At 51.8% G+C, this 17,112-nt stretch overlaps 2 protein-coding genes, 1 long non-coding RNA gene and 1 pseudogene across 15 annotated transcripts, besides 1 other annotated feature; 2 read left to right on the top strand and 2 right to left on the bottom strand.

Annotated features, from left to right (window-relative positions):
* Nucleotides 1,842-2,015, bottom strand: RPL12P47 (ribosomal protein L12 pseudogene 47; annotated as a pseudogene).
* Nucleotides 3,420-6,774, top strand: CRIP3 (cysteine rich protein 3). Of its 2 annotated transcripts, NM_206922.3 has the most exons (8): nt 3,420-3,496; nt 3,837-3,931; nt 4,350-4,407; nt 4,503-4,634; nt 5,729-5,800; nt 5,933-6,027; nt 6,122-6,179; nt 6,371-6,774. In NM_206922.3, exons 1-8 carry the CDS (start codon nt 3,454-3,456, stop codon nt 6,430-6,432), a joined length of 615 nt encoding a protein of 204 aa, NP_996805.2. In that variant the 5' UTR covers nt 3,420-3,453; the 3' UTR covers nt 6,433-6,774. The 2 variants fall into 2 exon arrangements, with proteins under 2 accessions (NP_996805.2, NP_001352997.1); NM_001366068.1 differs by lacking the exon at nt 4,503-4,634.
* Nucleotides 3,903-4,760: an enhancer, noted in NCBI's record as "H3K27ac-H3K4me1 hESC enhancer chr6:43275224-43276081 (GRCh37/hg19 assembly coordinates)". NCBI's record gives its function as "activates a minimal SCP1, AML or CMV promoter by ChIP-STARR-seq in primed H9 embryonic stem cells {active_cell/tissue: H9 hESC(primed)}" and the evidence as "EXISTENCE:reporter gene assay evidence [ECO:0000049][PMID:30033119]".
* Nucleotides 6,708-16,532, bottom strand: SLC22A7 (solute carrier family 22 member 7). Of its 12 annotated transcripts, XM_047418104.1 has the most exons (12): nt 16,418-16,532; nt 13,495-13,626; nt 12,972-13,154; nt 12,753-12,856; nt 12,465-12,619; nt 12,180-12,348; nt 10,988-11,111; nt 10,554-10,663; nt 9,832-10,046; nt 9,483-9,591; nt 8,002-8,208; nt 6,708-7,575 (listed from the first exon to the last, which is right to left on the bottom strand). In XM_047418104.1, the coding sequence occupies exons 3-12, from the start codon at nt 12,975-12,977 to the stop codon at nt 7,521-7,523; spliced, it is 1,254 nt and encodes a 417-aa protein (XP_047274060.1). In that variant the 5' UTR covers nt 12,978-13,154; nt 13,495-13,626; nt 16,418-16,532; the 3' UTR covers nt 6,708-7,520. The 12 variants fall into 12 exon arrangements, with proteins under 12 accessions (XP_047274060.1, XP_011512558.1, XP_016865687.1 ...); XM_011514256.4 differs by lacking the exon at nt 16,418-16,532 and having other exon boundaries at nt 12,456-12,619; nt 13,495-13,986; XM_017010198.3 differs by lacking the exon at nt 16,418-16,532 and having other exon boundaries at nt 6,708-7,023; nt 12,456-12,619; nt 13,495-13,986.
* Nucleotides 10,660-13,304, top strand: LOC124901319 (uncharacterized). Its single transcript, XR_007059582.1, has 2 exons — nt 10,660-10,839; nt 12,430-13,304. It is a non-coding gene; the product is annotated as an uncharacterized LOC124901319 (long non-coding RNA).
* Nucleotides 16,533-17,112: the final 580 nt, after the last annotated feature.

Here is a 17,112-nt window from a genome sequence, read left to right as displayed (position 1 = left end):
GTGGAAGCTAAAACTAATATTTTTCAAATTTGTTAAAGAAGAAGCCTTTCAAGAAACAGTTATAAAACTAAGCATCTTGAAATATTCCCTGAAACAAGAAACAAATAATGAGAAAGTGTAGAAAAATTACAGTGTGGAAGGCTTCTACCCTTAGAACTTAAGAATGATAAAACAAGTGTTATAAGTAAAAAGGATTGATGGAGACAATTCAGGAACAGGAATATCCAGTGGAAGTTCATAGACCCCAGTCCCTACCCCATTACCCAGATGAAGGAACTGATGTCCCAAGAGGAGACACTTAAGACAGTGCGCCTTTCACCTAGCAGAGCACAGCACTGCAGTCCATTGATGAATTTGGTGCAAGCCCTTCCTCAACGGATTTGATGTAACAAAGGAACTTACTCAAGAAAACTCGGTTTCACTTCCATCCTTCATAGAGGGATTGATTATTGTCTCCTCTGCTGGGACACTGGCACAAGTTTATCAGCTCTTCCCTCCAGCTCTTCATTGGCTACCTTTCCCCCCAGTCCCCCTGCCTTTTTTTTTTTTTTTTTTTGAGACAGTCTCACTCTGTTGCCCAGGCTGGAGTGCAGTGGCGTGATCTCAGCTCACTACAGCCTCAACTTCCCGGGCTCAGGTGATTCTCTCACCTCAGCCTCGCAGGCACATGCCACCAAGCCCAGCTGATTTTTTGTAGAGATGAGGTTCGCCATGTTGCCCAGGCTGGTCTCTAACTCCTAGGCTCAAGTGGTCCACCTGCCTCAGCTTCCCAAAGTGCTGGGACCAGGCGTAAGCCACCACTTCTGGCCGCCTTTTTTCTTTAGTTTTCTTCAGGTTCTATTGTTGTTGTTGTTGTTGTTGTTAAGACATTACGCATATACCATAAAATTCGCCTTTTTAAAGTCTACAGTTCATGCTTTTTAGTATATTTCCAAGGTTGTACAAACATTACTGCTATCTAATTCCAGAACATTTTTATCTTCCCATAGAGAAGCTTCGAACCCATTAGTGGACATTTCCAATTCCATCTCCTTGACTGGCCAACCACTAATCTACTGTCTGTCTCTGTGGATTTACCTATTCTAAATATTTCATATGAATTGATTCATATGATATGTGGCCTCTTGTGTCTTGCTTTTCTTACTTAATGTTTTTATGGTTTACCTGTGTTGTAACATGCATCAGTATTACATTCTTTTTTACAGTTGAGCAATATTCTATCATACAGATATACTACATATTGTTTATCCATTATCAGTTAATGAACTTTTGGGCTGTTTCTACCTTTTGACTATTGTAAATAGTCCTGCTATGAACATTCATGTACAAGTTTTTGTATAGACATATGTTTTCATTTCTCTTATATACCTGGGTATAAACCTGGAAGTGGAATTGCTGAGTCATATGGTAACTCTATGTTTAACTTTTTGAGGAACTGCCAGACTGTTGTCCAATGTGGCCACACCATTTTATGTTGCCACCAACAATGTATGAGGGATCCAATTTTGCCACATTCTTGCCAATATTTGTCTCTTTAATTATAACCATCCTAGTCAGTATAAAATGGTATCTCATTGTGGTCCTAATTTGCATTTCCCTAATGACTATTGATATTCAGCATCTCTTCATGTGCTTATTGGCCATTTGTGTATCTCTAGAAAAACATCTATTCAAATACTTTGCTCACTTTTAATTGGGTTGTCTTTTTGTTATTGCATTATAAGTTATTTATATAATCTGGTTACTAGATCCTTATCAGATTTGCAAATATTTCTTCCATTCTCTGGATTTAAATTTCTTGAAATATCCTTTGAAGCACTATTGAACTACTTTTTTTTTTTTCCACCAGTTGTCAAATGATCCTTTATTGAAATATTTTCCTTTGTGCTTAACTGGCTGGGCATTCCACAGAACCACTGTTGATATCATCTATGATGTCATGAGGGTGGCGGCCATCAACATTACAGCCCACAGACTGGGCAGTCCCCAGGATCTCTTTAATGGTGCCAGAGAGTCTATTGAACTACTTTTAACAAATATTTATCTGGGCATGGGGGCATATACCTGTAATCCCAGCACTTAGGGAGGCCCAGGCAGGTGGATCGCTTGAGCCCAGAAATTCGAGACCAGCCTGGGCAACATGGCAAAACCCCATCTCTACAAAAAATACAAAAATTAGCCAGGTGTGGTGGCATGTGTCTGTAGTCCCAGCTACTCCAGAGGCTAAAGTGAGAGGATCGCTTGAGCCGGGCAGGTGGAGACTGCAGTGAGCTACGATGCACCACTACATTCCAGCCTGGGCAACAGAGACCCTGCCTCAAATAAATACATTCATTAAAAACACAAATATTTAAAAATTTTAAAGCAAACCAGATTAGAAATGTGTAGTTGGTTTTCATTTTTATTTATTTATTTATTTTGAGATGGAGTCTCGCTCTTGTCCCCCAGGCTGGAGTACAGTGGTGCGATCTCGGCTCACTGCAACCTCCACACCTCCCGGTTCATGCGATTCTCCTGCCTCAGCCTCCCGAGTAGCTGAGATTACAGGCATGCGCCACCACGCCCAGCTAATTTTTGTATTTTTAGTAGAGACGCAGTTTCGCCTCGATGGCCAGGCTGGTCTTGGACTCCTGACCTCAGGCGATCCGCCCACCTTGGCCTCCCAAAGTGCTGGGATTACAGGTGTCAGCCACTGTGTCCAGCCACCCTACAGCTTTAGGAGTAAACGATTGTATACAGACCATGTTCTGAGGCTTCCAAACCGAGTCTTGAGTTCATTAAGGGATCCATCATAGTGATAGCTATAGCTGTTACAGCGTTTACATGCCAGGCGCTGTTTGGGCACTCTACATGTATTAACCTATTTAACTCTCATAACAATCCTATGAGGCAGAGACTGTTATCATACTCATTGCACAGATGAGAAAATGGAGGCAGAGAGGGAGGTTCAGTAATTTGCCTGAAGTCAAAGAGTAGGGTACCAGAGACGGGCTCCAGATTTTGTTGCTTTCAACCACTTGCTATACTGCCAAGGTGGAATTTTGCATTTCAAAGAATGCCTACTCCCTCGCTTTGGAGAGAGTAGTGTTTTAATGATGTCTGCACTGTGGACATTTTTCCTGTCCTTACCGCTCCAGAAACTAGTAGAGCTCCCTGTCCAGGTGTCTTCGTTACACATGTGCCTTCCTAGTCTGGAGTCCACGGCTTCAAGATCCTCTCTCCTCCCCGTGGGTCTGACCGAGGCTTTAATGCTCTTTGAAGTAACAGCGAAATAGCCCTTTGTCTCCCAAGTGGAGTGGTTCTAAATTTCTGATAACCAATGAGCGCCGAGGAACCGCGGATTCCGCCCAGGGAGGCTCAAAGCTGAGCCGTGGGTGGAGCCTGCGGAGGGGGCGGAACTGAGCCGCAGCGGCGTACCTACTGTGTGCCGCGTGCGCTGCCTGGAGCGGAGCTATGAGCTGGACCTGTCCGCGTTGCCAGCAACCTGTTTTCTTCGGTGAGGCCCGGGCTGCGGAGGGGGAGAAGATGGGGCGAATGGGAGCCGCTGGATTCCCTGAGGACGCGGAGGGCTAGCCACAGTGTAGTCCCAGACACCCTTTTCACCTGCAGCGGCTGGTAGTCTCCGCACCACCCGCTCCCACTCGGGTCTTCTCCCTTCCTCTGAGAGCTCTGTGGGGAGTGTGAAACCGGAGCGGGATGGAGCTGGCCTCCTGGAGACACTCATCTCCAGGAAGCAGGGCAGGCCAACCTAATTCCCTAGAGGGCCGAAGAGGGAAAGGAGGGGCCCTATGCTTGGACAGGCTCCTCGCAGCTCGGTTCCACTTTGTCCTCCACAGCTGAGAAGGTGAGCTCCCTGGGCAAGAACTGGCACCGCTTCTGCCTGAAATGTGAGCGCTGCCACAGCATCCTGTCCCCTGGCGGGCATGCAGAGGTAAGACCTGGCCAGGGAGCACTGCCCTGTTTACATCACTGCCTCCCACCCCCCAGGCACCAGCCCCCAACTTCAGCACTGGAGGCCTGCCAAAGGGAACCTCAGTAGCCAACCCCAAGGCCGCCCACCTGGTGGACCCCACACCAGCCAGGAATTTGGGAACCTGGGTCGTGACTGTGGATCCCATGGTTTTGGGGATCAGGGTGAGTGGGAAGCAGCGTCACCTTCTGAGCTGCTCTTGCTCTTCCTCCCTTGACCACAGTGGAAATGCTGGCATGCCAGCCCATCCCCCACCCCTCCCAGGCCCACCAGACTCAGCCAGTGGACAGACACACCTGGCAGCCTGTCTGGGGTGAAGGCCTGTGGGGCATGGCTCCCGCTGGCCTTGAGTAACCCACTTCCCTCTGCTTGTGCCCAGCACAATGGGAGGCCATACTGCCACAAGCCATGCTATGGGGCTCTCTTTGGACCCAGGGGTAAGTACCAGCCTTAAGGGGCCATGGGTCAGCAGAACCCTCCTTGTGGCTGGGAGCTGGGGGCTCAAGCCTGACCTCCCCTATTCTCTCTTCAGGGGTGAACATTGGTGGTGTAGGCTCCTACTTGTACAATCCCCCCACTCCCAGCCCTGGCTGCACCACTCCTCTCAGCCCCAGCAGCTTCAGCCCTCCCAGGCCAAGGACTGGCCTCCCCCAAGGCAAGAAAAGTAAGGCTGGGCTCAGCTCCTCCCAGTCCTCCTCCCGACCCTTCCCCAAGCTGGAGCGGAGGTTGGGCCAGGTGGCAGTCTCCTATCCAGCCCTCTGCTTCACATTCTCACAACTTCATTCTTGGCAAAGTCTTCTCTATCTACTCCCCGCTTTTTTTTTCTTTCTTTCTTTCTATTCCCTCATGTGAGCTGCTGAGTTAAGAGGTAAATTGTTGGGAGGCCGAGGCAGGTGGATCATGAGGTCAGGAGTTCGAGACCAGCCTGGCCAGCATGGTGAAATCCCATCTCTACTAAAAATACAAAAATTAGCCAGGTGTGGTGGCTCATGCCTGTAATCCCAGCTACTTGGGAGGCTGAGGCAGGAGAATCATTTGAACCCAGGAGGCGGAGGTTGCAGTGAGTCAAGGTCATGCCATTGCACTCCAGCCTGGGCAACAGAGCGAGACTCCATCTCAAAAAAAAAAAAAAAAAAAAAAAAAGAGGTTAATTGGGCAGATGGCATTATCCCCTCTCCTCGTGTGTTACAGGTGAGGAAAGTGAGATCCAGACAGGGCAAATGACTGTCCATCCACAAAGCTAGTCAGAGGCAAAGCTGGCCAGGAACTTAGGTCTGTCCCAGGCCAGGGCCATGGAAGGAATGATCTAAAGGAGAGGAGTCATTGGGATAAGGCCAGCCTCTCATATTCTTCAACTTTTCTCCTCTGGTCCCTGTTCTTTCCCTCCATTCCCTGAAGTAGGCAATGACACTGTGCTCCCCAACACCTGACACCCGTGCTGTGGCCAGCTCCTATATCAGCTCAAGTTTCCTGAGGATTGAGTTGCTAACAGGGTTGGGATGGTGGGTACGTGAGCCCCTGGGAGGATGAAAAGGAAGCAGGAGAAGGAAGCAGATAGTCCCTAATACACATAGGGATGGGGCAGGAGGTGGAGTCAGAGGGGGCTCAGCTCTGGGCCTGTAGAAGGCAGACTCTTGGGCGCCTGGGTGGGGCACTCTGGAATGAGCATGGCTTTTGAAAGAGGACAGCACCATATGCAGGCAGGTGCTGGTGGGCATCTCCACCTCAGACATAGCCAGGGCCTCTTCCCCTTTAAAGGCCCTCCCCATATGAAGACATTCACTGGGGAGACCTCGCTGTGCCCTGGCTGTGGGGAGCCCGTCTATTTTGGTAAGTAACAGTGGAAAACTTGGGGAGGGGGATACAGGGTGGGCAGCAAGGGGGAGGGAGGTGATCCAAGGCAGGTAGGTCTCCCTACTCTACCCCTAGAATGGAAGCATTACCACTTCTTTCCACCACCAGCTGAGAAGGTGATGTCATTAGGCAGAAATTGGCACCGACCGTGTCTGAGGTGCCAGCGTTGCCACAAGACCCTGACTGCTGGGAGTCATGCTGAGGTGAGCAGGGCAGGAATGAGTGGTTATGTTGGGAGGAGGCTGGAGATGGGAAGAGAACCAGGCTGAGACAGCTCTCTTTCTCTCTGTGTCTCAGCATGATGGAGTCCCCTACTGCCACGTCCCCTGCTACGGCTACCTGTTTGGCCCCAAAGGTGGGCAGCCCCATCCCAGACACTGGGATGGCATGTACATGCCTGAAGTATGGCATGTACATGGTCTGTGGGTATGTGTGGACAACTTCCCCTGTGGTTAAGCATACCCTGGCCCCCCCACCAAGTTCCCTCTAGGCCTGAACCCTGCACCACAGACCCAGGGCCTTTGGTGATAGGGCTCTCTCTCTCAGGTGTGAACATTGGCGATGTGGGCTGCTACATCTATGACCCAGTGAAGATAAAATTCAAATGAGACGCTCACAAAAAAGGTCACCCTAACTCAGGCCTCCCATCATGCCCCTCATGGTCCAATGGAAGCTACAAAAATCTCCAGTCCCATGGGGGTTGGGGAAGGTGGGATCTTGGGGGCCTGGGCCTAGGCTCCATGGTAGGCCAGAGAGTCTAGACTTTCTCTGCCAATTTTTTCCCTTTCCCATTTCTATCTGGTTAGGGAACAGCCCGTTTTGAAGGGTATCCTCCTCCTGGCCATCACAACCCCTTTCCCCAGCACATTCTGGAGCTTCAAGGTACTCATAAAACTTGTGTTTATTGAATTTCAGCCTCTGTGGCTTCTTCAATAAAATGTTGGCTCCCATGCCTTCAACTCTTCTTTGGGCATGAGACCAGTGGGTTGGAGGATGGGGAGTGTGGGGGTTGGGATGACATGCATTGCCCTGCAGGGTGCCTCGGAGGTAGCAGGGCCAGCCATGAGAACAAAAAGCTCTGTTCTTTTTGTCCCTTGGGCCTGGCATTGGCAGTCCTAGCACCACACAGTGGACAGCATGCCCACCAGCCCCATTGGTACCAGAAGTCTCATATGCTAGTCCTTTCTTTAGCACCATCTCTAGAAGAAGCAGAAGCACCTTATTCAGTAACTCATTTGAGCATGGCAACAGATCCTATGGTAGGGCCTCCCAAGAGGCTTCATTATCCATTTGGGAGATGAACAGACTGAGGCCCAGAGAGGGAAAGCCACATGCCCAAGGTCACACAGCAAGTTAATGGTGAAGGTTTTATCAGAGCCCAGGGCAGACTCAGTGGCTTCCTATCCAGGGCTCTTCCCACAGCTCGTCACCACTGCCCCAACCCAAGGGGCACCTTTATTTACAGAATCCTCCCCAACCGTGAGAGGGGTGCCCAGCAGCCCACTGCATTCTGGGAAGTCAACTGTTCCTAGAAGCCAAATAATCAAGGATGGATGAGCAGAGGGAGCGGGTACTGGCAGCAACTCCGGCCCTAGGCAGAGGGTTCGATACTCCCAGCCTGAGTTGCAGGGCCTGCCCTTCTGCTCTCCCAGCCCCTGCTGCAGAGCTTCTGTGGAGGGCCTGCCTCCACTCCCACTTAGTTCTGGACCTGCTTCATGGGCATCTCTTCCTCCTGAAGACTGGTTGGGGCACTAGGGAGGAAGGAGTTGTGAGCAATGGTGGGGTTTAATCCCCGAGCCTACCACCCCAGCCTGCCCCATCAGGGCTGTCCCAGGGCTCACCCCAGTTCCTGGTATACAAACGCCTGTACAAGTGACTCACACACATGCTTGTACACACCCCTGATGTGTAGGCATACTTGAGTGTGCACACATACACATCTTCCTGAACAACCTTATGTATTTGTGTTCATACACTCATGTACACATTTATGCTTGCAGTTTACATGCCCCCAATCATGCACCCTGAAACACTCACCTGTGCACGCACACATACATGCACCAAGTACACATGTGCAGATATAGTTTCCTGTCTGAATCCTAAGGTGTCAGGTATCTGAGCACCTGCATCCATATGCATGTTATCACACGTACACAGACACAGTCCTGTGCACACACCTCTTTCTCTCCACGTCCTGGATGGTCTCTGGCAGCTGTGCCTGCCTCGTCTCTGGCAGCAGGAGGGCGGTGCCGGCAGCCAGCAGGGCGATCCCCCCATAAGTAAGCTTGGGCAGTGACAGCCACACTCCATCCAGCAAGGCCGCCAGTGGGGCCAAAGAGCCCCCCAGCCGGCCCACCAGTGCAGTCAGCCCCATCCCTGTCTGTCTGTTCAGAGAAAGAGGATGAGGGAGGCAGATGGTGTTCACACCTACCTGGAGTCATGCCCCACAGGGCTTCCCTCCAGGGCTGGCAGGCCCTGATACTCCCTTCTCCCCATATAGCTAAGAAAACTAGGACTTCTTTCAGTTGGTCTTCCCACCCACCTTCAGGCCAGGAGACCTCAAGCCAGCACCCACCAGAGGACAGGGCCCCCATTCTGACAGAGTACCAATTAGGTATCACTAAAGGAGAAGACAAGTCACCAGACTGGGAGATAAGGAAAGGGTGATGTGGAAGGAAGAAGGTCAGTAGTTTGTACAGGCCCTGCCATGTTGTTCGAGGAGGCAAACCTCTTTCTAAACATGACCAGATGCCTAGAATTTTCCTCTTCCCACCTCTCAGTAGCTAGCTGAAAGACCCCCCCAACCCCGGGCCTTTCAAGGGGTTGCTCTTGGGACAGTCCTCAAGGGCATCTCTGCCTTCCAGGGGTGAATGGGATGGGGGTGGGCAGGATGGGGCTTCTTGGGGCTGTTTTCTTCTTCTTATTATTATTATTATTTAATTTTTTTCTTTTATTTATGTATTTATTTGAGACAGAGTTTCTCGCCCAGGCTGGAGTGCAATGGCATGATCTCAGCTCACTGCAACCTCCATCTCCCAGGTTCGAGCGATTCTCCTGCCTCAGCCTCCCAAATAGCTAGGATTACAGGCATTCGCCACCACACCCAGCTAATTTTGTATGTTTAGCAGAGACAGGGTTTCACCATGTTGGTCAGGCTGGTCTCGAATTCCTGACCTTCAGTGATCCGCCCGCCTTGGCCTTCCAAAATGCTGGGATTACAGGCGTGAGCCACAGTGCCCGGCCTTGGGGTTGTTTTCTTAAGGAGGCCCAGAGAGGATGTCTGACGTGGCTCAGGGTCACATAGTACAGAAGATAAGATGCTCTGCCTTCTCCAAGACTAGGGCAAACACAGAGGGCCCTGATTAGCTCTGTATTCTGGGTGTAGTGTGGAGAACGAGTGAGAGGCTGGGTGCGGTGGCTCATGCCTGTAATAGTGCCTGTAATACGAGCACTTTTGGAGGCTGAGGCGGGAGGATCGCTTGAGACCAGGAGTTTGAGACCAGTCTGGGTAATATAGCAAGACCCCGTCTCTACCAAAAATTAAAATTAAAAAAAAAATGAGTGAGAGACCAGGTTGTGGTGCGTGTATGTAGAAGTGTTGGTTAAGACACGTGACTAACAAGCCCCATACCCCCAGATCAGTTGCAGGCTTCCTCACCTGAGCACCGTAGGGTACAACTCTGAAGTGAACAGGTAGGCAGTGGTGAAGGCAGCTTCAGAAAAAGCTTTCCCCATCACTGCCAGGACAGTGCTCCAGGACTTCATATCTGGAGGGAAGCGGGTTCAGGTAGTGAGAGGGCCTTGGAGGAGAGCCAGGGGTGTTCTGGATAGGGTGCGGAGTCTCCAGAGTGGGCCAAACTTAAGTGGTGGAGAGTCTGAGCTCACTGGGTAAGAGCAGGGATCTGGGGGAGGAGTGGGTTCTTGGCCAGGAGGTGGGGTCTCCGGGGAGTGGGCAGGGTTCCTGGCCCGGCTTCTGGGGTGGGCAGAACCTATGGGACTGGGCTCACCGGAGGACACTAGCAGTCTAGTGCCGAACGCCAGGGCCGTGCCCAGCAGTGTCCCGGCTTGCGTGAGGCGGCGTCCTGCGTAGCGCACCGACAAGTAGACCAGCAGCTTGGAGGGCAGTTCCACAGCCCCGAACAACAGCTGTGTCTGGTACACGTTCAGCCCCAGCCCCGACACATCCAGACTCAGGCCGTAATAGGAGAAGTTCACTCCGAACCTGAAAGGAGTCTCAGTGCCACTTGGCGGACCCTCCTTCCCATCCCTCTTTGGCCTCTCTTCTCAGGAAGACTTGGCATTTTACAAGGGCAATCTCCTTCTGTCTCTGCAACCCCCGGTCCCCCCGCCAGGACCTTCCCTGACATCCATAATGCCCTCTGTGCAGCATGCGCCAGTAGTCAAAGCGCCTTTACCCTAATTTTCACAGCAACCCTGACATGGAACTGACAACAGTCCGTTTTACAGAAGGGACACTGGGGCTCTGAGTGGCTAAGTCATCTGTCCCTTTCCAAGTAAGGAAGTGGGAGTCTGAGCTTGAACCCATGTGTCTCTGCTACCTGCTTCATTTTCTGACTTCCCCAGGCAGATCGCCCATGGAGGTTTATCCTCCTGCCCTCCACAGTGACACTCTACTTGTCCCTCAGAGCCCTTCTCACACTCAGCACCAGCCTGGAGTTTGCTCCTCCCTCCCACCACACCCATGCCAGACCCAAGCCAGCCTCCTCACCACACCACCACGCAGCACAGTGAGATGTGTCGGAGCCGTGGTGTGCGGAACAGGTCTAGGTATGAAGGTCTTCGGACCACCCGTTCCCCGGCGGCCACTTTGCTCACAGCCTGGTAGGGAAGGAGGTGAGGTTGTAACATCAGAGTTGGCTATGTGATCTCAATGGGACACAGTACTCTCCCCCCACCCCTCTCTATTCCTCCCATCTGCAGTGGTGGGGATGGAGATGCTCATGGCAGCTGAGACGAGTGGGTCTCGAATGATGGATGTGGCCCACTGGAGCCAGGTAGGACATCCTAAAGAGTTCGGAACTCTCTGTGGGGGCCCAGGGGCTTTTCCTGCCATATATGGTGGGCTCTGGGAGGGAGGCACTTGACACAGCCCACTCCCCACCACACACATATATGCATGCTCACACACACGTTCACCCTCACCTCCTGGCTGAAGCTGTCCTCACACACTGGCCGCCCATTGAGCCTGGCACAGTGGAGCAAGTACCTGTGGGCCTCTTTCACATGGCCTTGGGTCAGAAGCCAGCGTGCAGACTCAGGCACCCACCTAGGAATAGGCAGAAGGTCCATCAGCCAGAAAGTCATGACCCTAAGCCACATGTTCCTGGACATACTACAGGCTCTCAACTTCCAGGCTCTTGCTCATGTAGTCCCCTTAGCCTGGAACATCATCTCCTCCCCAAGCCCTCCACACTTGATGAGCTCTTATTCATCTTTTAATGCCCAGTTTAAAAGCCACCTCTGGGCTGGGTGCAATGGCCCATGCCTGTAATCCAAACACTTTTGGAGGTCAAGGCGGGAGGGTGGGTTTGAGCCCAGGAGTTCAAGATCAGCCTGGGCATCATGGCAAGACCCTGTCTCTACAAAAAATCAAAAAATAAATATTAGCTGGGTGTGGTGGCACACGCCTGTAGTCCCAGCTACTCAGGAGGCTAATGCAGGAGAACCACTTGAGCCTGGGAGGTTGAGGCTTCAGTGAGCTGTGATTGTGCCACTGTACTCCAGCGACAGAGCAAGACCTTATCTCAAAAATAATAAAAATAAAAATAAAACACCTCTTCCCACACTTCCTTGCCCAGGCCCAGGTCCTCCATAGCCTGGGAGTCCCTTATTCAACTGAATTGTCCTTACCCTCAAGACCAGCTCCCAGCACCAGCCACTCACTTCTCCCATGGGTGGCAGGAGGGAATGAGATGAAGGAGGGACAGACATGTAGACATATCCAGAAGGGTCATCCAAGGCCAAGTCATCTTTAGGAGGCAATGTAGTGCCCACCCTGCCTGTCCTCCCACTCTCCGGCCTGAGCTCCCCACCCCCATGCTGGCCCTGCCCCTATCCCCAACTCTCCAAGGGGCCAGCCTCAATTTATGTTTGGCTCTGTCTTTATCTCTGACTCTCTGTATCTTGTTCTCTGTTTCTCACTTTTCCTTGCCATCTTCTTTCTGTTGATCTCTGTCTCTCTGTCTCTTTTTCTCTGTGTCTCTTTCTGTCTCTTGGTCACTTCGTTTCTCTTTCCCTTCATCTCTCAATCTCTCTATCCTCAAATCTCAGGCTCTGATTAATCTCATCTTTCACTTCCTGTATCTCCCGCTCCCCAGCTGCCTGCAGTCCTCACCAGAGGCTGAGGATGCCTGGGGCACAAGGCAGGGTGACAGCTAGCAGAAGCCATCGCCAGTCCCGTATCAGGTACCCAACCAGTGCCAGCAGCATCACGCCCCCTGTCCAGAAGGTGCTGCTCAGGACTCCAGCCACGGTGCGGTGCTCCACATCCAGCCACTCCAGCTCTGGGCCAGGACAGGAGACAGGAAGATGGTTAGTGAGGACCAGATGGGCTCAGCCTCACTCTGACAACTGCCTTCTTCCAGCCCTCTAGGTCCTGCCTGTTTCTTGCCTGCCTCACCCAGTGGCATCACGATGATGGTAAAACCAGCCAGGGCTGAGCCAGTAAGGGTGCGGGTGATGGCAAACATTACATAGCTGACGGAGGCTGCAGATGCCAGGCCCAGCACCAGGGTACTCACGTAGGCTACCAGCAGCAGACGCCGCCGCCCAAACCTGCAAAGGGGTCATGCAGGGTCAGTTCCCTGTGGAAGGAGGTTCTAAGGCATAGGTAGACTAGGCTCATACCCCAGCTAGTGGGAGAAAGTTCCCCCAGCCAGTTTCTTATTGGCCCAGTGCCTCACCCCACCTGTCGGACAGATATCCAAAGGCCACAGCCCCCACCAGCACACCGGCGAAGAAGAAAGTGGACGCAGCTCTGTTCAGACCTTTCTGCTCACACACCAGATCCCACTGCAAGGACAGGCAGAAAGGGACCTCCTATGAACATCAGCCCCTCTCCAGCAGGCACCAGCTCCTCCTCTCCAGACCCTGGAGCCTTCTGAGGCGAACTCTGCCATTCTGGTACCTCCATGCCAGATAATAAACCTCCCAACGATTCACGCCAGCTTGGGGAATAGGAAACTTTGTCCCTCCCCAGTCCTGCAGCCTCAGCTTCTTCCCAAGGAAGGCCTCGACCTGCTGCCTCCCAGGGAGACTGCCTCCACCGACATTCCACCTCCAGATGGATTATGTAAATACCGACCTGGGACTGGAAAAGAGGAAGGGAGAAAAGAAGGCCTCTATTGTTTCTCCACCTCTTGCTGCAGAAATTGCCTTCTCAGCTCTTTGTCTCAACTCCCTGAAGCCACTTTAGCCCTTCCCTGCCTTAATCACCTCCCAATTAATGATGATGATAACAGTTCTTGTGTAGGATCCTGTTACTACAAGCCATGAACTAAAAGTGCCTTATATTCATAGCCCCCATCTACAGATTGGTAAACTGAGACTTTAAGAGGTAAAGTAATACATCTAATGCCTACACAGTAACCACCCAAGGCAATGGCAGGCCCATCCCTCTCACATGTCTCTCAACTTCTGGGCTTAAGTACCTCAGTTGCAATGGTAGAGGAGAATTCTGAGTGGTCGTACTCCCAGCCCTGAGAGCAGGGCACTGTGGCAGGTTCATCCTCCAGCTCCCCACGGCTCTGCCTTTCTTCCCCCAACGTGGTGTTGGGGAGAGCCTGGGGATAGGCAAAGCGGAGGCAGGAGCTGAGCGTGCCATCAGGCTCCCGGGGAAGATGGGCCTCCAGCCACACATCCTGATGGCTGAAGTTGGCAGGGGCACCCGGCAGGGCACATCGGTGGGCAGGCACGGCAGCCAGGAAGATGGGCAGGAGGAAGTGCAGTGGTAGCAGCACTCGGGGCAGGGCCAGCAGTGCCACATTCCGCAGTTGGAAGGGCCCAAAGCCGCCCACCTGCTCCAGCAGCTCCTCAAAGCCCATGCTGCTCACCCACCAAATGCTTCAGGTGCAGCCTCCCTCTAGTATCCAGCCAGCTCAAACTGCCCACCACATAGACCCTTGGACTCTGGAGGTGGGAGTGGATGGACTGGAGAGCCTGCAGCCAGAATCCAGCCCTCAGGGGCTGGCCCAGGACTGGGCCCTCCCCAGCCATCAGGTCTCCAGGGACCTCTACCTGTCTTGCCTGGTGCCTGGGGGAAGGGGAAGCCATCCATTCAGAGGTCACTGGCTCGTGGCTCTGGGGCTTACCCATTAGTGTTCAGGGACCAAGGCTACCATGATGAGGTAGCTGGGTGATGGCATAGGAGGTGAGCCCCTAGCCCCTTGGTCAGCAGAGCTCCCAGGATCCCTAAGAAGAGGAGGCCCCTGGGGCCTGGGGCCAGCTCTCCCAGGGTGCCCTTTGTCCTGTGAGACCTTAGGTCAGCCTTGCCTATTTGCAGCTACAGCCATGGCCTGGCCGACAGCCCAGGATTCAGGACTGAAAGCTGGATCCTAACCAGGTTTCTTTCTGCTGAGCCATGAGGCCTCCTCGCATCCCTCTCCCCTGCTGGGAGCTGATGCCCTGGCCTAAGACACACCTGTGATCACACCGGGCAACTTGATGTCTCTGAGGATCCCAGGCTCATCCCATTCCCACTTCACTCAGGGACTCTCCCCATACATATGGTTCCAACTGCCTGTCCCATTCCCCTATTTCCAGCAGCTTCCTAAATTACCTTTTGGAGGGATAGGGAATGGCGGGGGACATGTTGCCAAGGTACCTGCAATGCCTAAGATTACCTTTTGGAGGGGTAGGGAATGGGGGAGGGGGAGTTACCAAGGTCTTGTCAAAGGTACATGCAATACCTAAGACTCAAATGTTCAATCTGACCCTCCCACTCAATTCTCAATCATGGTCCCTGCAGCAAAAGTACAGCAGAAACCAGCAATGTCTGGTTTATTCTCATCTGATTCTCCAAACACTTAGCTGGCAGACCCACTGGTTTAATCCAGCTCCTACTTTGAACAGGTCAGAAAACTAAAGACAGGGAGGGGACCTGCTGGGGTCACACAATGACTCAGCAGCAGAGCTGAAGAAAAGACCAGGTCCCCTGACTCCAGACCAGGAATCTCACTTTTGACCTAAGCTGCTGAGCTGGTGATGTCCCAGTCTGCTCCAGGCTGGGATCCCTGAGAAAGCGCTGGGAAAGGAGCTAAATCGATGGCATGGCGTGTGTTAATGGGGGTGCTGACAGCCATGGAGTGAAGCAAGAGGCAGCTAATGGTGGTGGCAGTGACAGGGGGTGACAATGAGAAGAAATGTTTGAGTCTCTAGTGCATCCTCGCCATTCTAGAGGGTACATAGATGCCTCAGACACGGTCCCTACCCTTAGGGAGCTTACAGGAGGGTTAAAATAAGCTAACCCTCCCTGTCTCCAGTCTCACCCCTTTCAACCCATTCTCCATACACTGGCCACAGTGAACATTTAAACACAAATCTAAGAGGGTCACATCCCTGTTTAAAACCCTTCACCAGCTTCTGCTGCCTGAGGGGGAAAGTCTAGCTCCTTAGCTTGGCCCTTATGACTTCCCTAGGACTAGATCCTCTCCCCCAGTCCACCCCTGACCCCTCTCCAACATGCTCCCTTCCCTCTAGTTCTCTGCACACACCAGCTCATTGGCATGTCACACCCTAGTGTGGTCCCTTGGACAATGTGGCTTCCTCCTCATTCACCAAGTGGATGCCCAAACCTCCCTGAAGACCAGCTCAAGGGGAGACACCTCCACCCTTCTCATCCTCACTCACGTGTGACCTCACACTGTTGGTTCCTCCCTCATTTAATACTATGTAATGATATTATTAATATAAAATGTATAAAATACCATAACACTTTGCAGCTCCTGAGAGGTAAGTTTTGTGGTCACCCCATCTCCATGTCCCATCCAGTGGCTCCACAGGGTAATACTCTGAAGTTTTTTCACAGCCAGAGAAGACAGCTAACGAGGCCAACCTCAGCCATTGGCTGTGACGACTTAGTTTTCACAATGGGAATTTCTCTCCTGCTTTAATATCAGAAATAGCTGATAATCATGCAGTGGTTACCTCTCCCTCCTGACATTGGCTCCTAGGAAACTCAAATCTAAATCTGCAGCCCTGGCCAGGCACAGTGGCTCATGCCTGTAATCCCAGCACTTTGGGAGGCCAAGGCGGGTGGGTCACCTGAGGTCAGGAGTTTGAGACCAGCCTGGCCAACATGGCAAAACTGTCTCTACCAAAAATACAAAAAATTAGCTGGACATGGGGGCAAGCGCCTGTAATCTCAGCTACTCAGGAGGCTGAGGCAGGAGAATTGCTTGAATCTGGGAGGTGGAGGTTGTAGTGAGCCGAGATCGTGCGACTGCACTCCAGCCTGGGCAACAGGAGTGGAACTCTGTCTCAAAAATAAAAAATAAATAAATCTGCAGCCCCTTTCTCCAGAGAGTAATTTGGCATTAATTTTACCTCTGGCTCCATCTTATTCCCTGGCCCTACCTCATAGGGAAGCTCTCTTCTCTGATGTCATTGAAGAATGATGGTGACAGTGACCATGATGGCTGATGATGGAGCTGGACAGGCAGGTATGAAATGCTGAGTCTAACCAGAGGATGGATAGATCAACTCTGAATCACCAGTTAAGAGCTGGTTTTGATTATATTTTAACCATCCTCCCACCCCTCCAACCTGGGAATTCTAACCTGAGCTCAGAGGCCAAGGTAGAGACCTTCATTTATACCAAACTGGATGGAGAGGAGCCTTGTGCAATGGAAAATAACTCCTGGCCAGGCATGGTGGCTCACGCCTGTAATCCCAGCACTTTGTGAGGCAAAGGCGGGTGGATCACTGGAGGTCAAGAGTTCGAGACCAGCCTGGCCAACATGGTGAAACCCCGTCTCTACTAAAAATACAAAAATTAGCTGGGCGTAGTGGTTCGTGCCTATAATCCCAGCTACTCGGGAGGCTGAGGCAGGAGAATTGCTTAAACCCAGGAGGTGGAGGTTGCAGTGAGCTGAGATTGCACCACTGTACTCCAGCCTGAGTACAGTGTAAGAGTAAGACTCTGACTCAAAAAAAAAAAAAAGAAAAAAGAAAAAAACTCCTTAATTGGAATTATTACTAGAATTATTGGAGGGTTCAGGAAAAATACATTCTTGGAATAAACAATTTGAGATTGCTTGCAATAGGGAATT

The sequence above is a fragment of the Homo sapiens genome, chromosome 6, assembly GCF_000001405.40.
Source record: "Homo sapiens chromosome 6, GRCh38.p14 Primary Assembly".
NCBI lineage: Eukaryota > Metazoa > Chordata > Mammalia > Primates > Hominidae > Homo > Homo sapiens.
This window is presented reverse-complemented; position numbering and strand designations above follow the sequence as displayed.

Excerpts from the sequence above, each read along its gene's own strand:
- CRIP3 (NM_206922.3), top strand. The coding sequence starts at position 3,454 with ATGAGCTGGACCTGTCCGCGTTGCCAGCAACCTGTTTTCTTCG. Across the intron at positions 4,635-5,728 it reads CCTCCCCCAAGGCAAGAAAA|GCCCTCCCCATATGAAGACA; the intron begins GTAAGGCTGGGC and ends TCCCCTTTAAAG. Across the intron at positions 6,028-6,121 it reads CTGCTGGGAGTCATGCTGAG|CATGATGGAGTCCCCTACTG; the intron begins GTGAGCAGGGCA and ends TCTGTGTCTCAG.
- SLC22A7 (XM_011514256.4), bottom strand. The coding sequence starts at position 13,887 with ATGGGCTTTGAGGAGCTGCTGGAGCAGGTGGGCGGCTTTGGGCCCTTC. Across the intron at positions 12,349-12,455 it reads GATGCCACTGGGTGAGGCAG|AGCTGGAGTGGCTGGATGTG; the intron begins GCAAGAAACAGG and ends GTCCTGGCCCAG. Across the intron at positions 8,209-9,482 it reads TTGTACCCTACGGTGCTCAG|ACAGACAGGGATGGGGCTGA; the intron begins GTGAGGAAGCCT and ends TTCTCTGAACAG.